At 51.5% G+C, this 20,704-nt stretch overlaps 2 long non-coding RNA genes across 2 annotated transcripts in view, besides 3 other annotated features; both read left to right on the plus strand.

Annotated features, from left to right (window-relative positions):
* LOC105375070 (uncharacterized) overlaps nt 1–20,704 on the plus strand; it is a 107,357-nt gene that overhangs the window by 84,762 nt on the left and 1,891 nt on the right. The window lies entirely within an intron of this gene.
* Nucleotides 2,389–2,468: an enhancer, noted in NCBI's record as "active region_24621". NCBI's record gives its function as "activates an Ori minimal core promoter by ATAC-STARR-seq in GM12878 lymphoblastoid cells {active_cell/tissue: GM12878}" and the evidence as "EXISTENCE:reporter gene assay evidence [ECO:0000049][PMID:35858748]".
* Nucleotides 5,211–6,111: an enhancer, noted in NCBI's record as "H3K4me1 hESC enhancer chr6:43854868-43855768 (GRCh37/hg19 assembly coordinates)". NCBI's record gives its function as "activates a minimal SCP1, AML or CMV promoter by ChIP-STARR-seq in naive H9 embryonic stem cells {active_cell/tissue: H9 hESC(naive)}" and the evidence as "EXISTENCE:reporter gene assay evidence [ECO:0000049][PMID:30033119]".
* Nucleotides 7,567–8,528: an enhancer, noted in NCBI's record as "H3K4me1 hESC enhancer chr6:43857224-43858185 (GRCh37/hg19 assembly coordinates)". NCBI's record gives its function as "activates a minimal SCP1, AML or CMV promoter by ChIP-STARR-seq in naive and primed H9 embryonic stem cells {active_cell/tissue: H9 hESC(naive and primed)}" and the evidence as "EXISTENCE:reporter gene assay evidence [ECO:0000049][PMID:30033119]".
* Nucleotides 9,108–20,704, plus strand: part of LINC01512 (long intergenic non-protein coding RNA 1512) — a 47,180-nt gene continuing 35,583 nt past the window's right edge. Inside the window, exon 1 of the long non-coding RNA NR_024478.1 lies at nt 9,108–9,545. This is a non-coding gene — a long non-coding RNA (long intergenic non-protein coding RNA 1512). The remainder of the gene's footprint in view (nt 9,546–20,704) is intronic.

A 20,704-nucleotide genomic window follows, 5' to 3' on the forward strand; every position in this document is an offset into this window, starting at 1 on the left:
TCCAGCCAGCACAGACTTCCCTGGATCTGCCCAAGGATGCTAGCATCAGGAAAGAGAGAGAAGCTGTGAAAATATGACACCTACATACACCCCAGCTCACCCTTCCTAGATACCCTGCACCTGCCATCTCTTCCCTGCCCCCATGAGTGGCTCTGCCATCCACCCTGCTGTGCAGAGGAAGTACTGCTCTAGGTGAGCCCTGGGTCACCATGATCCAGTGTCAGCCTCTGACCAGGGCCATAAGTAGAGACCCATGGCCTGGCGGCAGCTGCCTGAGTAAGTAGCAAGCCCTAGTTATGGCCCCTTAGTGTTCCCCTTGGGGACTTCCTGCCTGGGCATAAGAGAAAACATTGGAGAAAATTGCAGGCCCCACACAACTGGCTTCTGCAAAAAGCATAGACCTCCCTGGAGAGCTTCCCATGGTCCAGGGAATTCAAGCAGAGGCAGAAAGGTCACCCCTTGGAGGTGATTCTGGAGGGGACACTGTGCTAAGGATAACAAAAATAACATGTTATCCCCTACCATGCATTGAGTCATCACCATGTTTCAGGTGGTCCCTTAATAGGAACCATCTTATTGAAAGCTCTCAACAAGTCTGTGAGGCTGCTGCTCAGGGGTCTTCTTTTCACATGTGAGGACTCAAGCTCAGAGAGGCCAAGTTTCAGGCCCTAAGTCCCACAGTTCCCATCTGGTTTTCCTGCTCCATCTTTGCCTCCTCAGTCTACTCCCAGCACAGTAGAGTGAGCCTGGTGGGACATGGTCTGCCCTCCTTCCAGGCTCTGTAGTGGCTGCTGTTCGCTCCGGGTAAAAGCCCAAGGCCTCTCAAAGTCCCCCGTGCCTTTGCCAATCTGGTTTCCCATGCCCTGATCTTGTCTCCTGCCACCCTCTCCTCACTCAGCCCCACTCTGGCTCCGAGGCTGCCTCTCTGCTGTCTGTAAAACATCCCACACTTTCTCCACATCCTCTCCAGCACCTATTGTTTCCTGACTTTTTAATGATCGCCATTCTAACTGGTGTGAGATGGTATCTCATTGTGGTGTGGAGAAATAGGAACACTTTTAAACTGTTGGTGGGACTGTAAACAAGTTCAACCATTGTGGAAGACAGTGTGGCAATTCCTCAAGGATCTAGAACAGAAATACCATTTGACCCAGTGATCCTATTACTGGGTATATACCCAAAGGATTATAAATCATGCTACCATAAAGACACATGCACACGTATGTTTATTGCAGCACTATTCACAATAGCAAAGACTTGGAGCCAATCCAAATGTCCATCAATGATAGACTGGATTAAGAAAATGTGGCACATATACAATGTGGAATACTATGCAGCCATAAAAAAGGATGAATTCATGTCCTTTGTAGGGACATCGATGGAGCTGGAAACCATCATTCTGAGCAAACTATTGCAAGGACAGAAAACCAAACACCACATGCTCTCATTCATAGGTGGGTACTGAACAATGAGAACACTTGGACACAGGATGGGGAACATCACACACCGGGGCCTGTCGAGGGGTTGGGGGAGTGGGGAGGGATAGCATTAGGAGAAATACCTAATGTAAATGACCAGTTAATGGGCGCAGCACACCAACATGGCACATATATACATATATAACAAACCTGCATGTTGTGCACATGTACCCTAGAACTTAAAGTATATATATAAAAAAAAAATCCCACACTCGCTCCTGCCTCCAGGCCCTTGTGTTGGCTGCTGTCTGCCTGAAAGGCTCTTCCCCAGATGCCTGTGTGGCTCTGGCCTTACTTGCTTCAGGTCTCTGGCCGAGTGTCACCTCCTGAGCCACCCAGCTGGTTCTTCACTCTCTGTTCTCTTCACTCTGTATAGCGTGTGTGTGTGTGCGTGTGTGTGCATGCGTGCATGTGTGTGCATGTATTACCTGTATCCCTTCATTAAAAGGTAAGCCCCACCAGGGCAGCTACTTTGCCTCTTGTGCGTTGCTAGATCAGGTCCCAGATCAGTGTGACAGGCTGCTCAATAAATATGCGCTGAATGATTGAGCAGTGCCAAGACTTGAGCTCCAAAGCTCTAATCAGCAGGCATCCTGGGGCTGGGGGAGGGTGACTGGCAAGGCCCTCTGGAGCCCTGGGATCTGCGGCTCTGTGCACACTTGCTTTTTCTCACAGCCTGAGGGAACTGAGAAGCACAGCCACCTTCAGGAGAGTTTGGCCCCAGGCACCTGCCTCATGTGCCCCAGTTCAGCTCAGCCTGGCCATGAGAAGGCCGCCTCAGGCTCTCTGTGCAGCCTCTTTCTTTGGGGGGTTTCATCCTTGGCTGGCTCACTCTCACTTCCTTCTTCTTGACTTTGAAGCCTGGGGGAAGCAACGTCCTTTTTCTCTTGGCCTGAGTTTCAACTCCAGAGGAACTTGGCAGACTCTGGCTGTTTCTCCAAACAGCCTACTGGATCCTCTGAACACTTGTTCACTCAGATCATACTTATTGAGCATCTTCTATGTGCCAGGCACACAGAGAACAGGAAGAGGGATGTGATTTCCAGCTCTCCATGTCACCACCGGTCCAACCTGGCCCGGGAGGCCATACAACAGACAACTAAAGCCAGAGGCACTTGGAGCCTGAGGCAGGGCCTCTGCCTCCCTTCCCCTTGCTCACCCTCCTTCTGAGAATGTGGGATTGGGAAAGGGAGAAATTTCCTCTCTCCCCTAAATTGCCTCTTGGGGAAGAGAGACAATTTCTGGGGCCAACAGAATGGAGAGCCAGCCTCGGGGTGGAGGGAGCTGAGTTGGGCGTTTAGTTTGAGGGAGATCTGCCAGGCCTCATCTTCTTCCTCAAACGCAGTTCTGAGAAAGCCTCCCTCCCCTGCCTGCCCCTGCTGCTGACCTCCCTTCTTCCCTGCCATGCCTGGTGCCTGCCCCAGCTGCTGACCTCCCTTCTTCCCTGCCATGCCTGGTGCCTGCCCAGGGCCCCTCCTCTGGAAATGCCTGGGGTCTGTGGCAGGGCTCTGGTTCTCCCCATCCAACCCATGTCTCCCCAGGGCTGCGATGGGCCACCTGTACTTGTGCTCTCAGAACCACACGCTGTCACCTGCCCCCATCCCCTGTATATACAGGCTTCCTCGTTCCAAGAACCCAGAGACATTAGACAGTTGTCCAGGTTTCTCCATGTCTTTGTTGGCCATTGGCAACACATCCTGGAAGGAGAAGAGAAATGAAGGCTTTTACCAGGCCAGCAAATCAGCGCTCACAAGTGTCCTGAGGAGGGATCTGAGGGAGGGGCAGCTACCAGGAACAGGTAAACACACAGAGTCGCAAGTCTGGTGGGGTCTGTACAGCAGGAGGTGGCATCTGACCCTGCTCATATCTCAAAAAGGCATCAGTAGTTGACCATGAGCTTCCTCTCTGACCCAAATCCTAGAAGGGCCCCTGAGTGGGTGGCAGCAGGTGGGACACGCAGGTCTCATCTCCTTCGGATTCAGTGCATCCCCCTTGTCGGCTCTGGGGACTCCTGCCCCCACTCCCTTCACTCCTTATTGCAGAACCGATGGGGCCCAGAACAGAGGTCTTGCTTTGGAGGGTCTGAGCTGGCCATGCAGCAGGTGAGCCTTGAGGGGGGACTCCTGGGACCCCTTGCTCCTCTGGACTCTCCTGTTGGGGGATAAGATCCAAGTTCCACGTGGCAGACTCGCCAAAGAATTTTCAAAGCCCCAGCCCCATCTGGTGGGCCTTCAGCATATGTGCTTCGAGCTGCCATTGTATTTTCCTTGGATGTTGGGGCTCCCCCACACCAAGATAAGCTCAAGGGCAGGACCTAGTGAGACTGACCTGTGTCCCCCAGGCCCAGGAGAGGGAGGCACACTCAGCAGCCAGGGCCTGGGTTCAAGTCCTACCTCCACCACTGTCTGTGTGACCTCAGTCATGTGACTTTGCCCTTCTGAGCCTCGATTTCCTTCTCTGTAAAATGGGCAGAACTGTAGGCCTATTTCATAGAACTGTGGTGAATTTAACTGGGAAGATGCATGTAAGACACTTATAACAGTGCCAGGCACCTAATACGTGCTCAATAAATATCACCTGTTGTATTCCTGTCACCTCTCAGCATTCCTTCCTGAGCTATGAAGGATTCTGGGATTGGGGATTGGGATTGGGGCTTGGGGCCAGCTGGGCTTCCTCCCGAAGATGGCCTGATCCTTTAGGAGACATGGGAGGAGAAGGGGGCCCTCGAGTTGCCTCCAGGCCCCTGGGGGTTGTGGCCAGTCTGGAAAGCCCCGACTCACCACACTGTTTGGATTGGGTTTCTATTCCCAACACCGGTGAGAGACCTGCTATTTATGGGCCCCCCATCCCACCCCCTGGGCGGCCAGACAGTGTGTGGGCTGGGGACCACATGGCTGGCAGCCCACTACCCCCACCCCACGTGGGTGCTGTGACCTGGGCACGTTTCACACGTTGGTTATCCCGCCGTCTCAGCAGTGGCTTTCCCAGCTCTGCCTGGCCACCCCAGGGAGGAGCAGAGATGGGGGGACAGGAGGGGTTGCCTGCCTCTTCATCCTGCACTCTGTCTTCTAACAGAGTATCTTTCAGGATGGTTGGGTTCCTGGGGGCAGCAGGGATGACACATGCCACCCCTTTCCATTTTCACTCTTACGATGACACATTTGTCATGTGGCGTCTAGTGTGGTTAAAACCATGGAGCCAGACTGCCTGGGTTCAAGTTCCACTTCAGCTGCTCATTAGGTGTGTCCTTGAGTGGGGACCCAAACCTCTTTGTGCCTCAGTTTCCTCAGTCAACTTAAGACAGAGCTCGTACTAGTACCTGCCTCATAGGGTCATCATGAGGTTAAAAGAATAGATACAGGTGAGCGCTTAGCACCAAGCTGAGCCATAGAAAACACGCAGACTCCACAGGACATTCTTCTCTCTGCAGGCTCTGATGCAAGGTGGCGACTGTGGCATTCTTTACACGGTTCCTGTTCTCTGACCAGGCAGGACTGCTGTCCCCACTGTGCAGAGGGAGAAGTTGAGCCCTAATGGGAGTAAGTGGCCTCTCTGAGGTTGCACAGCTGGGGATGATAGAACTCAGGCCCTCTGATCATTAACTGCTTGAGTCTCCTCCCCACACCCCTCACCAAGTAGGTAAGGGACACCCCTGGCCCTCCCAGCAATGGAGGTGAGGACCCTTACAGGTGTTTGCCCAGCAGGAGCCAGGCTGAGCCCAGACCCTGGGCCTCCCTGCCCTCTGGTCAGCACTTCCAGTCAACCCATTCGGGACAGAGGCTATTTTTAGTGTGTGGTGTTTGCCCTGTGGCAGGGGATATTTGTGAAGGGTAAGGCCATTGGTGTCCCTTGGCTTCCAATTGGAAACTTCTCTCGGACATGCCACAGATTGGCCGAGAGCATGAGGCTTTGGAGAGCCTTTTTTCTTCCTTACAAGATGTGGCCATTTCTCCTTCCCATCTGCCCTCTTGCCAAGCCCACAGCTTCTGTTCCTGGCTCCTTGCCACCAAGATGGTGACAGCCTTCCCAGGTCTGGTGGGATGAGCAAATTGGGCAAAGTGTGGTTTCCTGGCCCTGGCCCGGCATCTTCCCTCTGCTAATAAACCTGTGGCTAACCATCCGTGGCCTTGTGCTCCGTGGTTAGAGCACCATGCCAACGAGGCCAAGGTCAGGATCCGCCCCAGCCAGGCCGGCTTTACTCAGAGGTGTGCTCTGTCCCATGGCCTCAGCCTGCAGCTGTGGGCTGTGCAGCCTGGGCTGGGGGTGGCAGTGGTCAGGCCTGGGGAAGGCTGTGAGCCTGTGGAGTGTGGACTCCGTCCCCTGAGGGGGTTCTCTCTCTGGTCCACCGGCCTGCTGCTGGGTCCTTCCCTACGTGAAGGCTGGCTTCCCCCGCGTGTGGGTGGGAAACCACTGGAGGTGAGAAAGTGCCAGACGAGCAGGCACAGGGCCACTCAGTCAGACTTCTACGCCGCCAGGAGAAGCCTCTGGAGGGGCAGAGTGTGATGGTGAAGAGGAGAGACTGTGGGGTTCAAATCCCTGACAGGATACTTAGTAGCAGTGTAGTTTCAAAACTACTCTGTGCCTCAGTGTCCCTATCTGTAAAACGGAGATGATTCTAGGGCCCCTTGTGAAGCTGAAGTAAGCTAAGCCTGGGAGCACGTGGAAGAGGAGTTGCTAGACAATGGTAAGCTCTTGTTATCACTGTAGTGTCTCCAACTCCTGACCTCAAGTGATCTGCCCACTTCCGCCTCCCACAGTGCTGGGATTACAGGCATGAGCCACCGCGCCCGGCCCCATTGCAGTATCTCAATCCCAACACCAGTTGCATTGTACCAATTTCTAGCTCTACCTGGTCCCCTCCCACTATCCCCACTCCTTATAGACACCTTCCCTCATACCAAGCCAAACCTTCACTGGCCCCAAGGCTCTTGTGCAGTTGAAGCCTGGGTTGCACGGATGGTCCCCGCCTTGCCCTACTGAGAGGCCAGATGCTGGGGGTGGCCACGCTGCAGGCGGGTCCTTGCCCCTACTCCTGCCAGAAAGAAGCCCAGTGTCCTTGGCACAGGCAGGCACAGGGCAGGTGCCCTGCTCTGCTCCTGTGGCTCTTGCCCAGGAGGGCGCGGCTGCTGAGCTTAGGTCTAAAAATAAGGTATCTGGGAGGAACGGCTTTAATTTGCACTTTACCTATTGGTGTTTACTTTGCTATTTCCAATACGGTAATTTAATTCTGCAGGGTGCCTGACTGGGGGGCACCTGAGGCGTGCGGTTACCTGACCGCACCAGGAGTGACTCTTGTGTCCCTGTGCGGCTCTGACAGAGAAGCCGCAGGGACAGTGGTGGTCTTTGGAGTTCACAGGTATGGGCATGGCATACAGGGGCAGGAATGGGCATCAAGACCCCACCATGCCCAGATCCACCATCCTCTCTTCTTCATTCAAACCCTTGCCCTGATGGCAGAGCAAGGATCCCCTTCTGCCACATGTCCCTGCCTGCTGCTTGTCCCCACGTCTCTTCCTGCCCATGGCCAGGGGCTCCATCTCTGCTGAGATGCCTCCCTCTCACCGCCAGCGATGAAGGAACTCTCTCTAGGTTTCTCTGTTGGACATACAGCTATTTACACTACAGCGTTGATGTCTTCCACCCTCCCACCACTAGTAGCTTGCTTTGTTTTAGTTTTATATTTTGTCTTTTCTTGGAGATGTGGGCTCACAGAAGCAGGGCTATGTCTCTCTCTCTCAGACTGGGAGTCCCTGAAAGCAGGGCTGTGTTCCACTCTCAGACTGGGGTTCCCTCAGGACAGGCTGCACCCCCCGCCTCAGATTAGGGGCTCCCCAAAGGAGAGAATATGTTTCTCTCTCAAATTAGGGGTCTCTAAGGTATGGCACTATGTGCCCTTTGGCCTCAGGCCTACCCAAGGGCAGGGCCTCAAAATCTCTTATTTGTTGTGTCTCTGCTGCCATCACCCATGTCTCTCCTTCCTGCCACCCCCCAGCCCCACATCCCAGGATGGCTTTACACCCCTCTGGTCAGGGCTGTGTCTATTAAAGCCACCAAGAGTGCATTTTGTCCTGCTCCTCCCTGGCCAGCAGAAGTGGCTGACAGGACCACATTAGGACTTGGTGGGCCATAAGCATTTTTTGTTGTCATGGACCCCTTTTTCCATTAAAAAAGTAAAAAGTTACATTTTACAGTTGTGTTGGGATAAAGGTAAATATATTCACATTATATATGAAAACATTTCTGTTGACTTAGAAGATCATTTCTTCCCTCTGATTTTAAAACAACTCAGAATACTTTGTGGGCTCCTAGGAGTACCATGGGCTGGGGCTGAGCCTGGTGTGTCTGGTGGAGAAGCCGCCCTGATGGCTAGGGCTCCAGCTGGGCCTGGCTGCAGGAGTCCGCATTGAGCCTCAGCATTGCTGGCGGGGATGCCTTTCCCATCCTTTAGCTTTGTTGTTGTTTTGTTTTGTTTTGTTTTGAGACAGAGTCTCACTCTGTCGTCCAGGCTGGAGTGCAGTGGAGTGATCTCAGGAGGCTCGCTGCAACCTCTGCCCCCTGGGTTCAAGCGATTCTCCTGCCTCAGCCTCCTGAGTAGCTAGGATTACAGGCGTGCACCACCATGCCCGGGTAATTTTTTGTATTTTTAGTAGAGACGGGTTTTCACCATGTTGGCCAGGCTGGTCTCGAACTCCTGACCTCAGGCGATCCACCCGCCTCAGGCTCCCAAAGTGCTGGGATTACCATCCTTTAGCTTTTATAAGCCTCATACTGTCCCCGTGAGTTGGGCAAGGCCAGAATTCTCATCCCACGCCAGCCATTGACACTACCACTGCTGTGGATATGGCCATGGCCATGGCTGGGACGGGGACCTCCTCAGCTGCTCCTTTGCCCATATCAGGCGCTGTGTTAGGCACATGGCCACCTTAATCTTATTGAACCCTCACACCAGCCTCTGGGGCAGGCACTGTGCTTATTTCCCATTTCACAGATAAGGAAATCGAGGCTCAGAGGGAAGAAATGATGGGCTGAAGGCCACCTAGCCAGTCGGTGAGAGGGTGGAGACAGAGGACACAGGGGCCCCGGCTTCAGGAAGTCTAGGTCTTTCCACCCTAGAGACAGTGAAGGGCCAGGCAAGAGGTAGGTGGGGGTCGGTGGAAGAAATTGGTTGTGATGTCTCAGGACACAGTAGCAGGAAGGTGCCTTAGAGAGCTTGCATGGAAGGAACGGGCCTTCCTGCCCTGCCCCCATTCCCCTGGTTTCCAGCCCGGAGGGTTTTCAGGGCTAATGGAGGGGAAGGGCACAGACTTCACTCCTCTGTGGAGAGAGACACAGGGATTCCTGACCAAGCTGCCATGGATCCTTCCCTCCTCCAGGTCTGCTAACTCCAGGCCCTCCCTGTCCAGCCACGTTGTCTGGAGGCCACCTGGCAGTCTCATCTGGGTTGGGAGGCGTGGGGTCTCAGAGCGGGAGGAGAGAACCTCGTGGTGGGGGGAGCTAGCAGTGAGGGAGTGGGCTGTGGGGAGTCTGGGTCCCACCCCCGGGACTCTGTCAGTGGCAGGGTAGGGGTACCCAGAGCCATGGCAGGAACCACCCCCTGCCCGCCCCCGACTAGAGGCTCAGCTTCCCTGCGTGCACCTAGCTCAGGAAGCCTTCCTTTCTAGTCTCTACAGCTGTTTCCCTCTTTTCCCATCTCATTCTTCCCTCTTCATTTCTGGCCTATCTTTTAACATCTCCATCCCTTTGATGCCTCATCCATCTCCTCTTCACCGTCTTGTCTTTGCCTGTTCCCTTTTCTGCTTCTCTGCTCCTCTTAAGGCTGGGTTTTCCTCCTGCGTCTCCTCTGTGCGCCTGTGAGTGTCCCCTGTCTGCTCATCCTCTCTCCCTCTGTCCACCTGTTTCTCTTTCTTCCAGCGTTTCTCCATCTCACGCGCTGCCTCTGTCATTTTCTCTCTTTCTTCGTCTTTCTCTCTCTCTCATTGTTCTGAGACATAGCAGTGCCTGGCCCAGCGGGGACAACATGTTTCACAGACAAATCATCCAACAAAAGAGAGGAGGAACGTGCTTCAGGTGAGCGTGAGCGCCGGCCCTGCTGTGTGCTGTGTGCGCATGGTGGGGGGAGGCTGGGGTGGGGGGGGCGGCAGGAGGCCAGTCAGGTGCGGGCGCCCAGGGCCGGGCGGGAGGGGCTCACGGGAAAGGGCTTTTGTGCAGACCAGGCTCTGGGTGGCTTTCAAGCAGCACATCTTTCTTCCAAAGCCAAACCTTTGATCCCCAGAGACATCAAAAGAGCCATCTGCATTTGTGTTTCCTCCAGGTAGAGGAGCAGGGGAGGGGCGAGGAGAGAAAAGGGGAGGGTGGCAGGCATGGCGGAGGGGGTGCTGAGAGGGGCCGCGCCTGGCCTCTTGAACCTGCATTTCAGGGAAAAGCCCCTGTCCGGAACCCACTGCTGCGCCTTCTTGGCTGGGGGACTCCTCTGCCGACTAAATGACTAACTGGGCTATCTTCAATATCAAATGAGAGGACGTGTTCTAATGAAAAAGCCCTGTAAAGAGACAGGGGGTTTGGTGTGGGTCAGGAGCAGCTGGTGCCCTCTCTAAGTGACCCCATGGGGCTTGCTTTAAAAAGCCTTCTGGGCTAGGCGCGGTGGCTCACGCCTGTAATCCCAACACTGGGAGGCTGAGGCGGGCAGACCACGAGGTCAGGAGTTCGAGACCAGCCTGGCCAACATAGTGAAACCCTGTCTCTACTAAAAATACAAAAAAATTAGCCGGGCGTGGTGGCAGGCGCCTGTAATTCCAGCTACTCGGGAGGCTGAGGCAGGAGAATCACTTGAACATGGGAGGTGGAGGTTGCAGTAAGCCGAGATCGTGCCATTGCACTCCAGCCTGGGTGACAATTGTGAAACTCTTGTCTCAAAAAAAAAAAAAAAAAGAAGAAAAGAAAAAAAGCCTCATTTCCCTGTGTTGATTCATCCCTCCAGGAAGCCTCCTACAGTAGTCAGGTTTCTCTCCCATTACTGAATCTTTTCGGCTCCTATGGGTTCAGCTCTCCCGCCTTGTCGGAATGGGGTGCTGGTCATTTCCATGGCCCCAGCAGACCAGAAGGTGGCTAAGGGAAAGATCACATCTTTGTTTTCTCTTTTGGCCCCAGGGCCTGGCCCAGGTGGGGTGAACCAGATGTCCTTGATCATAATAATACTCTCCTGTAGTCATGAGGAGCCGCTGATTTCAAACCACTTTAGCAGACACCCTAGCATTTGCTCCTCACCCTGCCCAGTGAGGAAGGCAGGGCATAGATTCACATCCCCATTTTATAGTCAAAGAAACTTGAGTTTCAAAGAGGTCAAGTAACTTGTCCAAGATCAGTTAGCAAGTGAGACTGGTAAGAAGCCCAGGAGTCAGTCTGTCATTTTCATTTTACAGATGGGGAAATTGAGGCAGAGCGTAACAGAAACACAGGTTATTAGAGACCAGGTCCAGATTAAAGCCTAAGATTCTAGACTTTTTCTTCCAAACCGTAGTGACTGGACTACCCTCCCAGCCTCCACGTGGTAGACGCATATCTGGGGGACAGCTGGCTCTCAGAGAACGTTCAGAAGATCCAGGGCTATGCTGGGGTGGGCGTGGGGGCTTCCAGTCAATTTTCTGGGTTAGAACTCATGCTATAGGAATTCCAGATGTACCCTCATGGCCCTGACCAGGGGACAGGCGATTGGTCCTGCTCGCAGGTGACGTGAGGCAGAGAGAGGGGCTGGATCAGGACACTGCTATCTATTTCTCTCCCTGATTTTCATACCGGGCTGAGTGCATGGCTCTGCCTTTGGCTTCCAGGAATGGAGAGCAGCAAAAGGCAAGGACAGCAGCTGGTTCCATGGGAGCTCCCCATAGGCCACCCAGGCCCAGCGTCGCCTTTGTTTTAGACAACAAAGAGTGTCTCATGTGGTCTCCAGACTGACGGCAAGGTGCGGACCTCTGTTCAGGCACCTCAGCTTCCAAGACTGAGTTCTGAGTCAGAATCCTCCAGAGTCCTTGGTCTGGGGCTTCCACCCCACTCAGCCCCAGGACTTCCAGGATTAGTGTCCTTGCCTGAGTTCTGTGTTTTGTCTACCAAATACCCCACGTTTATTAAGCACTGATCTATTTCCCCATTTTATTAATGAGGGATGACTGTTCCTGAGATAATCAGTGTTTCCAGTGTATTGCACTGAGAAAATACCAGCTAAGGCCAGAGGTTTGACATTTGAGTTAGAGGCTGCAACTAAATGAGGGAACAGGTAGGTTTTCCGGGTAAATGTTTGAAATATGGGAAAGAGTTCAAGGGCTGTCCTTACTATCATCACAGACCTCCGAGGGTTTGGGTCCCCACACCGAGAACACAGAGGAGTCATGGGACTCTTCTGTGGCACATGTGGGCTCCAGACACACACATTCACATACGTGTCCCAGAAGAACCAGAATGCTGGGCCCAGGGGGAAGTGGCTTGTTTGCCAATCCAGTCCCATAGGCTCAGCTTCTCTCTCAGTTCCAGGAATTGTGATTTCTCACCTGAGATTAACTTTTTGCCCTCCTATATGGGTTGTGAGCTGGGGAGGAGACAGGGCTTCCAGCTGAATCAGGAGATGAGGCCTGTGAACTGAAATCACTGGTCCAAGGCCATACATGACATCCATATATGCTATGGGCAGGTGTATACACTATGTCCAGGAGGGGAACAGAATTGGGCCACAGGGAAGGCACATAAAATTGGAATAGTCTCTGGAGTAGTGGGTGCATTCAGGTTCTTTCTTGTCAGGATAACTGTTTATGCTCTGCAGGAGTGGCAGGGAGCACCAGGCTTCTAGCAGGCAATGGGCTTCAAGTCTTATGTATTTTGCCTTAAACTACACTTATAGGATTTATTTTTGCCCGCATAGTTACCTCCCTAATTAGATTGGCTTCAGCTAGTGTTAAAATTAGTATGCATGCCTTAAGGTTGTACCCCAACCGATGGAGGGTGCTCAGATGCATGCCTGGAGCTGAGGGAAGCTTGACTGAGAGGCAGTGTCAGCCACAGATAATCCTTGAGGTGGACTATGTACTTGGGTAGCAGAATTCACAGCTTCTGGCAGGTTCCCGGGAGGATGGTGGGACTGATATGGTAAAGGTGAGAAAAGCTGGCAAGTCTGGCCTCCAGCCTGGGTTGGAGGATATAGCTCATTGATTCAAAAAGTCACTGGAGCTGGTCTTGTCCAGCTCCTTCATTTCACGGATGTAGAAATTGCAGTTCAGGGTGGAAAGTGACCTGCCCCAAACCCCACAGCTGACAAATGATAGGGCTAAGAGTCGAATGCACATCTCCAGTCCAGTGCTCCCCATCCCGCCCCCTGCTGATGTGCTGAAGCTACCGCTTGGACCTTCTTCCCTCCTGTGAGTGAGAGGAGGGAGAGGGGTCAGGCCAGGGAAGAGTGGGGCTAGAAGGAGGGGTGTGGGTGAGGAGGAGCCTACTTTGGCCACCTACTTCTTTTTTTTTTTTTTTTTTGAGACAGAGTCTTGCTCTGTCACCCAGGCTGGAGTGCAGTGGCGAGATCTCAGCTCACTGCAAGCTCCGCCTCCTGGGTTCACGCCATTCTCCTGCCTCAGCCTCCTGAGTAGCTGGGACTACAGGCGCCCGCCACCACGCCCGGCTAATTTTTTTGTATTTTTAGTAGAGATGGGGTTTCACCATGTTAGCCAGGATGGTCTTGATCTCCTGACCTTGTGATCCGCCCGTCTCGGCCTCCCAAAGTGCTGGGATTACAGGTGTGAGCCACTGTGCCTGGCCACTTCTTGATGTGTTTCTTCTGCCAGAGCCTCAGTTTCCTTATCTATAAAATGGAATGCTTGGTCCCCATGAGCTCCAAGGCTCCAAGATGAACCAGACCAGAACATTCCTTGCTGGCCACCGAGGCCTTGGAGATGGGATAGAGCCAGAGTCAAATAGCGGAAAGCTGTGGCTCCAAGACCAGGAGGCGCCTGGGTCCAGAGGGCGGGGGCAGAAAGCAGCAAAGTTAGTGCTGTGCCCTCCACCCCAGCTATTTTTACCCAAGAACACTGGATTGCAAGAGGTCTGGCTAAAAATACCAGCAGCCCAAGCCTGAGCATCCTCTCCCCAGAGAGGGTGAGTTGGGGCTGTCAAGGAGGGGGGTGTGGGGACAGGGAGTCTGAAGAGCATTTATCCTTCTCCTTTCTGGGACTGGGGTGCCTGGGAAGGGGATCCCCTTCCTCTAGAGAGCCTGGTAGGGAAGACAGCCCAAGAATAAGCTTGTTTTAGTCATTTTCAGCAATCCTAGCCAGCACCCCACCCCCTGCCAACACACACTGGTTTTTTTTTTGTTTTGTTTTTTTAACCAAACGTAATCTAAATCTGTCACAATTTTGTGTTCTGTTCTTTTAAACTTATTTTATAAACATTTTTATGTTGCTATGTGGTCTTCATGTTTGTCATTCTTAATGGCTGCATAGTATTCCATCCAAGACTTTTCTATTCCCTGGTTGTTGGGCTTTTGATGACTTCCAGTTTGTCATTATTATAAATAAGGCGGTCATGGACATCTTTGTGCATGTGGCTTTTTCCTTCTTATTAATTATTTCTGTAAGATAAGTGGCCAGGTCGGGGGGTAAGGCTGTTTTTATGCTGTTTGATGTGGTTTGCCAAGTTGCTTTCCAAAAGTAAATGAAGGAGGGTTTAATGTGAGGATACATCCACACTGGGAGCCAAGTACAGTCAGGCTTCAGGGAAATCGGAACTGAGAGCCAACCAGAGCTCAAACAGCTGCCTCAAGCTCCCAGGGGTCTGCTTTGTTTCAGCTTCTCTGCTTTCTCTGCTCCATCTCTCTTTCTCTATCTTTATTTATTTTTGACCTAGCAGAGCTATCAGTTCGGAGCATATAACTGCTCACATTTTCTGAGGGCTTGCTTTGTCCTAGGCACCATGCCAATTGCTCACATTGATTATCTTAATTTTCACAACTAGCCTCTGGGGTAGGAATTATAATTATCACCATTTTACTGATGAAGAAACTAAAATATGGAAAAACTAAGTCACTTGTTCAAAGATGCACAGTCAGTAACTGATGGGAACAAGTCCCACGTGACTGACCTCTCTCTCTCTTTAAACATGTGCTCACGACCTATACCAGTCTCCCCGGGAATATGGAGATGCCACATCCACCCACAACAGGCCAGCCCATCATTTCTGGGTCTCTGAGTTCAAATTTTGAAGAGGGAGAATCTGATTGGCTCAGCCCCTCCTATGTCTTGGAACCCTAGAAGTCCAGGCCCAATCAGCTGTGATAGGGGATGAGGTCGGGCAAGGAATGCCAGAAGAGGATGCTGGGCCAAGAGGGCCGGTGGAGGAACTGTTTTGATGTGCCAGCATTGGACTTTGCTGGAAAATATTAAAAAGTAATGTAACTGGTATAAATCTAACTTCTTAGCATTTCATTGTGTCTCAGCCTTTTGGCTAAGATCAAGCGCCGCCTATTTGCATTTGCCTTTCTTTGATTATTTGTGAGGCTGAATGTGTTTCTGTGTTCCTTTCTTTATGTGTGCATTGTCTGCCTCTTTGCCCATCTTGGTCATGCTGTATATCTTACAGATATTAATGCCAGACAGAACAACAGTATGCGGAGAGGGGCTGCAGGCGGAGTGAGGATGATGTCTCACTAAATGGCTTTTTCTTTGTCCCTAATGCCTAGCAGGCTTTGACGGGCTTCCTAATCAGTGTTTCTAAGAGCCTGCTTCTTCTCCATCACAACCTGGCATGTTGCTTGAACTAGACAGTCATTAGCAGCGACTTCTCCAGCCAGAGAATCTCTGAGTTTGCCCTCTCCTGCCTGGCCCCTTCTGAATGAATGAATCAACCTAGAAGAGTTTTCAGGGACCCTGATTTGCTGCTCATATTGTGGGACTCATTCTTGAGCTGCATCCCATGTCTTTGTTGGTCTGAGGCTTTTTTGTTGTCCCAATTCTGGGCTGACTGTGTGCACACCTTTGCTTCCAAGTCCCCAGAAACAAAACTTCTATACCTACATCTCTCTTTGTGAAAATGTGTCGTCCCCTTACTTATAGAAGGCTAAAGATCCTCTCCCATCTTCTATCCCTAGACCCCATAAGTAACAAAGTGCCCATTACTTTAGCACTGAAGTTTGGAGCCTTCCATGAAGGAATGTGAAGTCCAGGAGGTGACATGCTACAAAGTCCTATGCAGCTGACAGAGACAGTGAAGGCTCTGGGCCCAGGGAGAGACAGGTGTTTAGGGCAGCCAGAACTGAGGCAGGAAAAGCTCCTATGGGCAGGGATGGCAGGCAGCTATGAGGTCAGCCTTCATTCAGCAGCCAGATAGCTTTGCACTGAGCTACCCGCTCAGGGGCCAGCTGTTCCCAGTTGTGGGGGCTGGGGAGAGAGGGGTAGTGAGTGGTGCTCTCTGAAGCCAGGGATTCAGGTTGACTTGTGGGATCCCATCCATGACCTTGGCCTCTGAAATCCAGAGCTCCATCACAGCCCCTGGGAGCCAGGAAATGACTAGTGTTTTGGGTCATGGTGGTTAGTTCATGGACTCTTCTTTGGAACTGTGGGTGGCTTCTCAGGGGACCCTTCTCTGCCAGGCCCTAGAGATAATCAGGAGCTGCCCATGGGAGCTGCCAATGAGACTGATAGAAGAGGTGGGAAATAGTGCTCCTCTCTGCTGGCTCCCTAGGAAGGAAGCTGGCTCCCTAGCTCCTGACTGTGCAAAGCACGGGCCAATTATCACTCACCAGGGCCCCATCTCCTCATATCATGAGCCACAGTTTCACACTGCTTTAAAAATCTTTACTCTTGATGTGAGAAATATGGTCCCTCCTAACTCTCAAGATTAGCAGACAAAATATCCTGGGGTTGGACATTTGTTTCCTGTGGCTGAGACCATCATTTGTTGCTTTGTATCTGTTCTTCTCCTCTTCTATTAATATATGAATGAAAGTTTTAGTTGGACACAAAGCTGTCCACTAAGGACTATATTTTCCTGCTTCCCTTGTATTTAGATCTAGCTTGTGACTAGATCCTGGCCAATGGGATGGCAAGGAGGGAGCATTCCCTTTCATCTTTCCCTCTTCCCTCTGGCTGGAATGCAAATGTGATGGCAGGAGCTGTAGCAGTCATTTTGGACTACATGATGAAAACTGCACATTGAGGAAGGCAGGGCAACAAGATTGAAGGAACCTGGATCCCCAACACCATTAAGTCACTGTATCATCCCTGGACTACCTACTTGAATCTTTATGTGTGTGAGAGAGTGACTTCTATCCTGTTTAAGCTTCTGTATTTTAGGGTTGATTTGTCCCAGCAGCTTGACTCTACATACCCATCACGGTATGTCTCTCGATGGAATGGCCATACCTGGGCCTATATGGATATGTCTGGTTATTGGTGGGGGGGCTGGGGACACCCCTATTTTGGTAGACTTTGGTGGTTCCCAATAGATCATCCCTCCCAATATTCACACCCTTGTGTACTTCCCTCCCACAGTAACTCTGGACTTGGCCATGTGACTTTCTTGGGCCAATGGGACATGAGCAAGCATGATACCAGCAGGGATTTGGTAAGCACTTGCACAGTGGGGCTTTACCGCATGGAATACTCACTTTCGGGATGTTCCTACTCTAAACTCAAGTGTCAATCTTGAGAAGCCCAACCTAGGCACAAGGAGAGGCCATGTGGAGGAGAACTGAGGCCCTGGCTTCAGCTCCAGCCAATAGCCAGAACGTGAATGAAACCATTTTGGAAGTGGATCCTCCCATCTGAGGCCTTGGGAAACGGAGACAAGCTGTTCTTGTCACACCCTGTCCAAACTACAGGATTGTGATCAAATCAATAATTGTTGTGCGCTAGATAACCAGAACATATGTGGATGGTCCAGGGCCCTTTGCACCGTCTGAAAAACTCAAGTCCATTGTACCTTTTTCACACCAAAATAGCAAACATGTCTTACTTGTGCCTTGACACTAGAACACATGGGTAATTACTGATGCTCTGGAAATACTTACAGATTGGCCACCTTTCCCTCCAAAACATGTTCTTCCTCTCTCAGCCCTTGTCAGGTGTTGGTAGCTTGGCTTATTACTCTGACTTTCAGCTCCCGGAATGGCTGTGGGTTCTGTAGACCACACCTTCTCTCTCATAATAAGGCCGCTGGGGTCCCGTGTCCCTTAGAGAAGGGTTGAGGGCAGTGTTTGGAGGCACGGTCTGACTGTGTCAATGATGGATCCCCAGTGCCCACACGAATAAGTGTGCAATATGTGTTGGGGGAATGAACAAATGAATGAATGATTGAATGGTGAGTGAAAAGTAACTCATCTGGTTCAGAGCAGGAGATCAAGGTGAGAGGGGAGCAGGGGGTCTCCAGGGAGGGTAAGGCCAGTAGACAGTCCTAGGTTTAATGAAAGATGGCTTTGTAAATATTTTTAACTCCTTTAAATTATAATTATAGTAGTGAACATTTATTGAGTTCTTACTATGTGCCAGCCACTGTGCAAAATGCTTCATGTAAATTATTGCATTAATCATCTCAACAATCCTGGCAGGTAGGTATTATAACTTTCATCCCATTTTATAGATGAGGAAATAGAGGCCCAGAAAGGTTAGGTAACTTGCCTGAATGGGGATGGTAAGATTGGAACTCAGACAGTCTGGCGCCAGTACCCAAGGCATAGCAACCACACTCCGGCAAATAGTAGGGCTCCCATTTTCCACCTTTGGAGAAAGCCAGGGTCTGGCACGGTTTAGGGCACAATTTCCAACCTTGAGTCTACCAAGTGCTCCTGGGGACCGAGAAAGCCCAGATTAGAAGAGAAGAGGGCGAAGGGGGCGAGTCTGGGGTCCATGTCCCAGGAGCAGGAGCATTAGCTTCAGGGCTCAGAGATGGTGCTGCCCACCCCACCTGAGCACCCTCACTGGCCGCTCCCACTCACTCCTCAGAAATGAGCCTGGCCCGTTCACACGTGTCCCTAATGCCAGGTTCCAAGAAAGCCACCTAAATACCTGGTATTTGAGATGTAAAGAGACCGGCTCCCTGTACTTAGCACTGCACTAGCTTTTCCAATTATAGCGCCCTATTTTCCAAAGTCTAAAATGGACATATGTTATAACTGTCTTGGGCCCCAAGGTTTCAGAAACACCCTTAAGGCTCCTGAAATACAATCATGTATTTTAGACTAATTCCTAAAGGGCTGAGAGGGGTTATCTTTAACATCTGCCAGCACCGACACAGAATCTGGCCTTTGTTTACAAATGATCCTGGAGCCTGGGCACACCACAACCTCTGATGGAACAAGCTCTGTGCTGAGCTGAGCAGGGAGGCCTGAAGAAGGGAGATCCCAGGCTGGAGTGGGTGTTGGGGGAGACACAGCCCTGTCCTCAGGGAGCCCCAGTCTGAGGGGGACACACAGCCCTGCCCTGGGGGAGCTCCGATGTTGAGGAAGGAAACAGGCCACACACGGAAACCCAGTAGACCCTGGGACAGGTGGGGAAGGGGTAACTCCCGCTGACTCTGCCATCACAGGGTGGGTAGGTGGGAAGGAGGCAGGTAGGAAGGCTGCCTGCATGTTCCAGTGCCTGGAAGCAGGTGTGTAGGTAGATGGGGGCAATGGAGCTGAACTTTAAACGCTCTCTGGAGCTAATGTTGCTTCGGGCCTGCCAGCCAGGGCATTTTCTGTCCAAATCCAACTGTCATTATTAAACATTTATTATGCAAGGGAGATGTGCTTTTCTGGTCTCAGTGTTTGGCCAGCAAACTTGGTGAGTAAATGGACTAGAACTAATCCTGTAGCTAAACAGCGAGGGCTTTAGAAAAGGAAACACCTCACTTGCCTAATAGCTCCCAGGGAGGGGTGAGATATGGAGTATCAGCCCTCGGACTGCCCTCTTCCTCAGTTAGGGAGACAGTGGCTTGGTGGCCAGGCCTCCCAAAACTTTTGCGAACAAACAGGGAGCAGAGAACAAACAGGGGGCAGAGCTGACCACGGAGCTCATAGATCAAGGGCAATAATTAGGAGTTTAAGGATGTTCCGGGTAGGGGACAGACTCCTGGCCAAGCATCAGGAGAGCTGGGTTCCAGCCAGCTCAGACCTTAATTGGCTGGCCGTTACTCCAGAAATTGGTAAGAACATCCCTTCTCCCCAGAGGCCAGGGCCTGCAAGAGGAGCCGAGAGGAAGGGGAGACCGTCTGAGGGAGGAGACATGGCCCTGCCCCGAGGGAGCCCCAGTCTGAGGGAGGAATAGATGAAACTGCCTTTGCAAAAATTTTAGTAAGGGAAATCTGATGTAACCGACTCCATCTTGTTTCTACCAGGTTTTCTACCAGCTTTAGCTCATTCTTGTGTGGAGGCCATAATAGTCCTTTCCGTGAACTGATCCCCTACCTGTTCAAAAATTGAAACCACATTTGTAAAGGCTAATGAAAGGTCAAGAAGTTAGAATTATGGTAGGGGCTTGAACCATCACTTAGCTTGTTTTTCCATAACTTAGCTTAGTCACTTAAGCTAAGCTAAGTTAGCTAAGCTAATATCACTTAGCTTGTTGACTGCCCCAGAGTCACATAACTAGAGGTTTCAAGATTTATAACTTCCCCAACTACTTCTATAGATAACATCGCTATTGTGAAACCTAAAGAATAAAGAAACTAAAAGGTAATTCCACAAAGAGTTGTTTAGCTCCTGTGTGTGCCCAAGGCCAGGCAGGGAGTCCCAGCCCCTATCAGCCAGAAGTCGCTGGGTCTTTGATATGGTTTTCAGATGTAGCATTTCCACAGACCGAGAGAAGTCAGCTGGTCCTGAGACTGCCTCCCGGGAACTGACTGAGCTGTGTGAAGACAGTTTAGACACTGTGATTTCATCCCCAGCCAATGAATTGTTTCAGTTTCCCAGCCCCCTGCCCACCAAAGAACCCTTAAAGACCCTACCCTCTGAATCTCAGGGAAGTGGATTTGAGAAATTTCTTCCGTCCTGCTTGGCTGGCCATGGGATCATCCAATTCTTCTTTGCTGCAGCACCTGCTGTTCTCAGTGCATTGGTATTTTCAGGGCAGTGGGCAAGAAGAACCTATCAGGCTGTAACATAGACACAGCTTATGGACTCTGGAGACCGGGCTACCAAACAGGCCAGAACTGTGGGAAATAGGGTTCACCCTTTCCACCTACCCCATTACTTACCCAGAGAAGGCCAAGGGCCCCTGGCT

Source organism: Homo sapiens, chromosome 6, assembly GCF_000001405.40.
Source record: "Homo sapiens chromosome 6, GRCh38.p14 Primary Assembly".
Taxonomy (NCBI): Eukaryota; Metazoa; Chordata; class Mammalia; order Primates; family Hominidae; genus Homo; species Homo sapiens.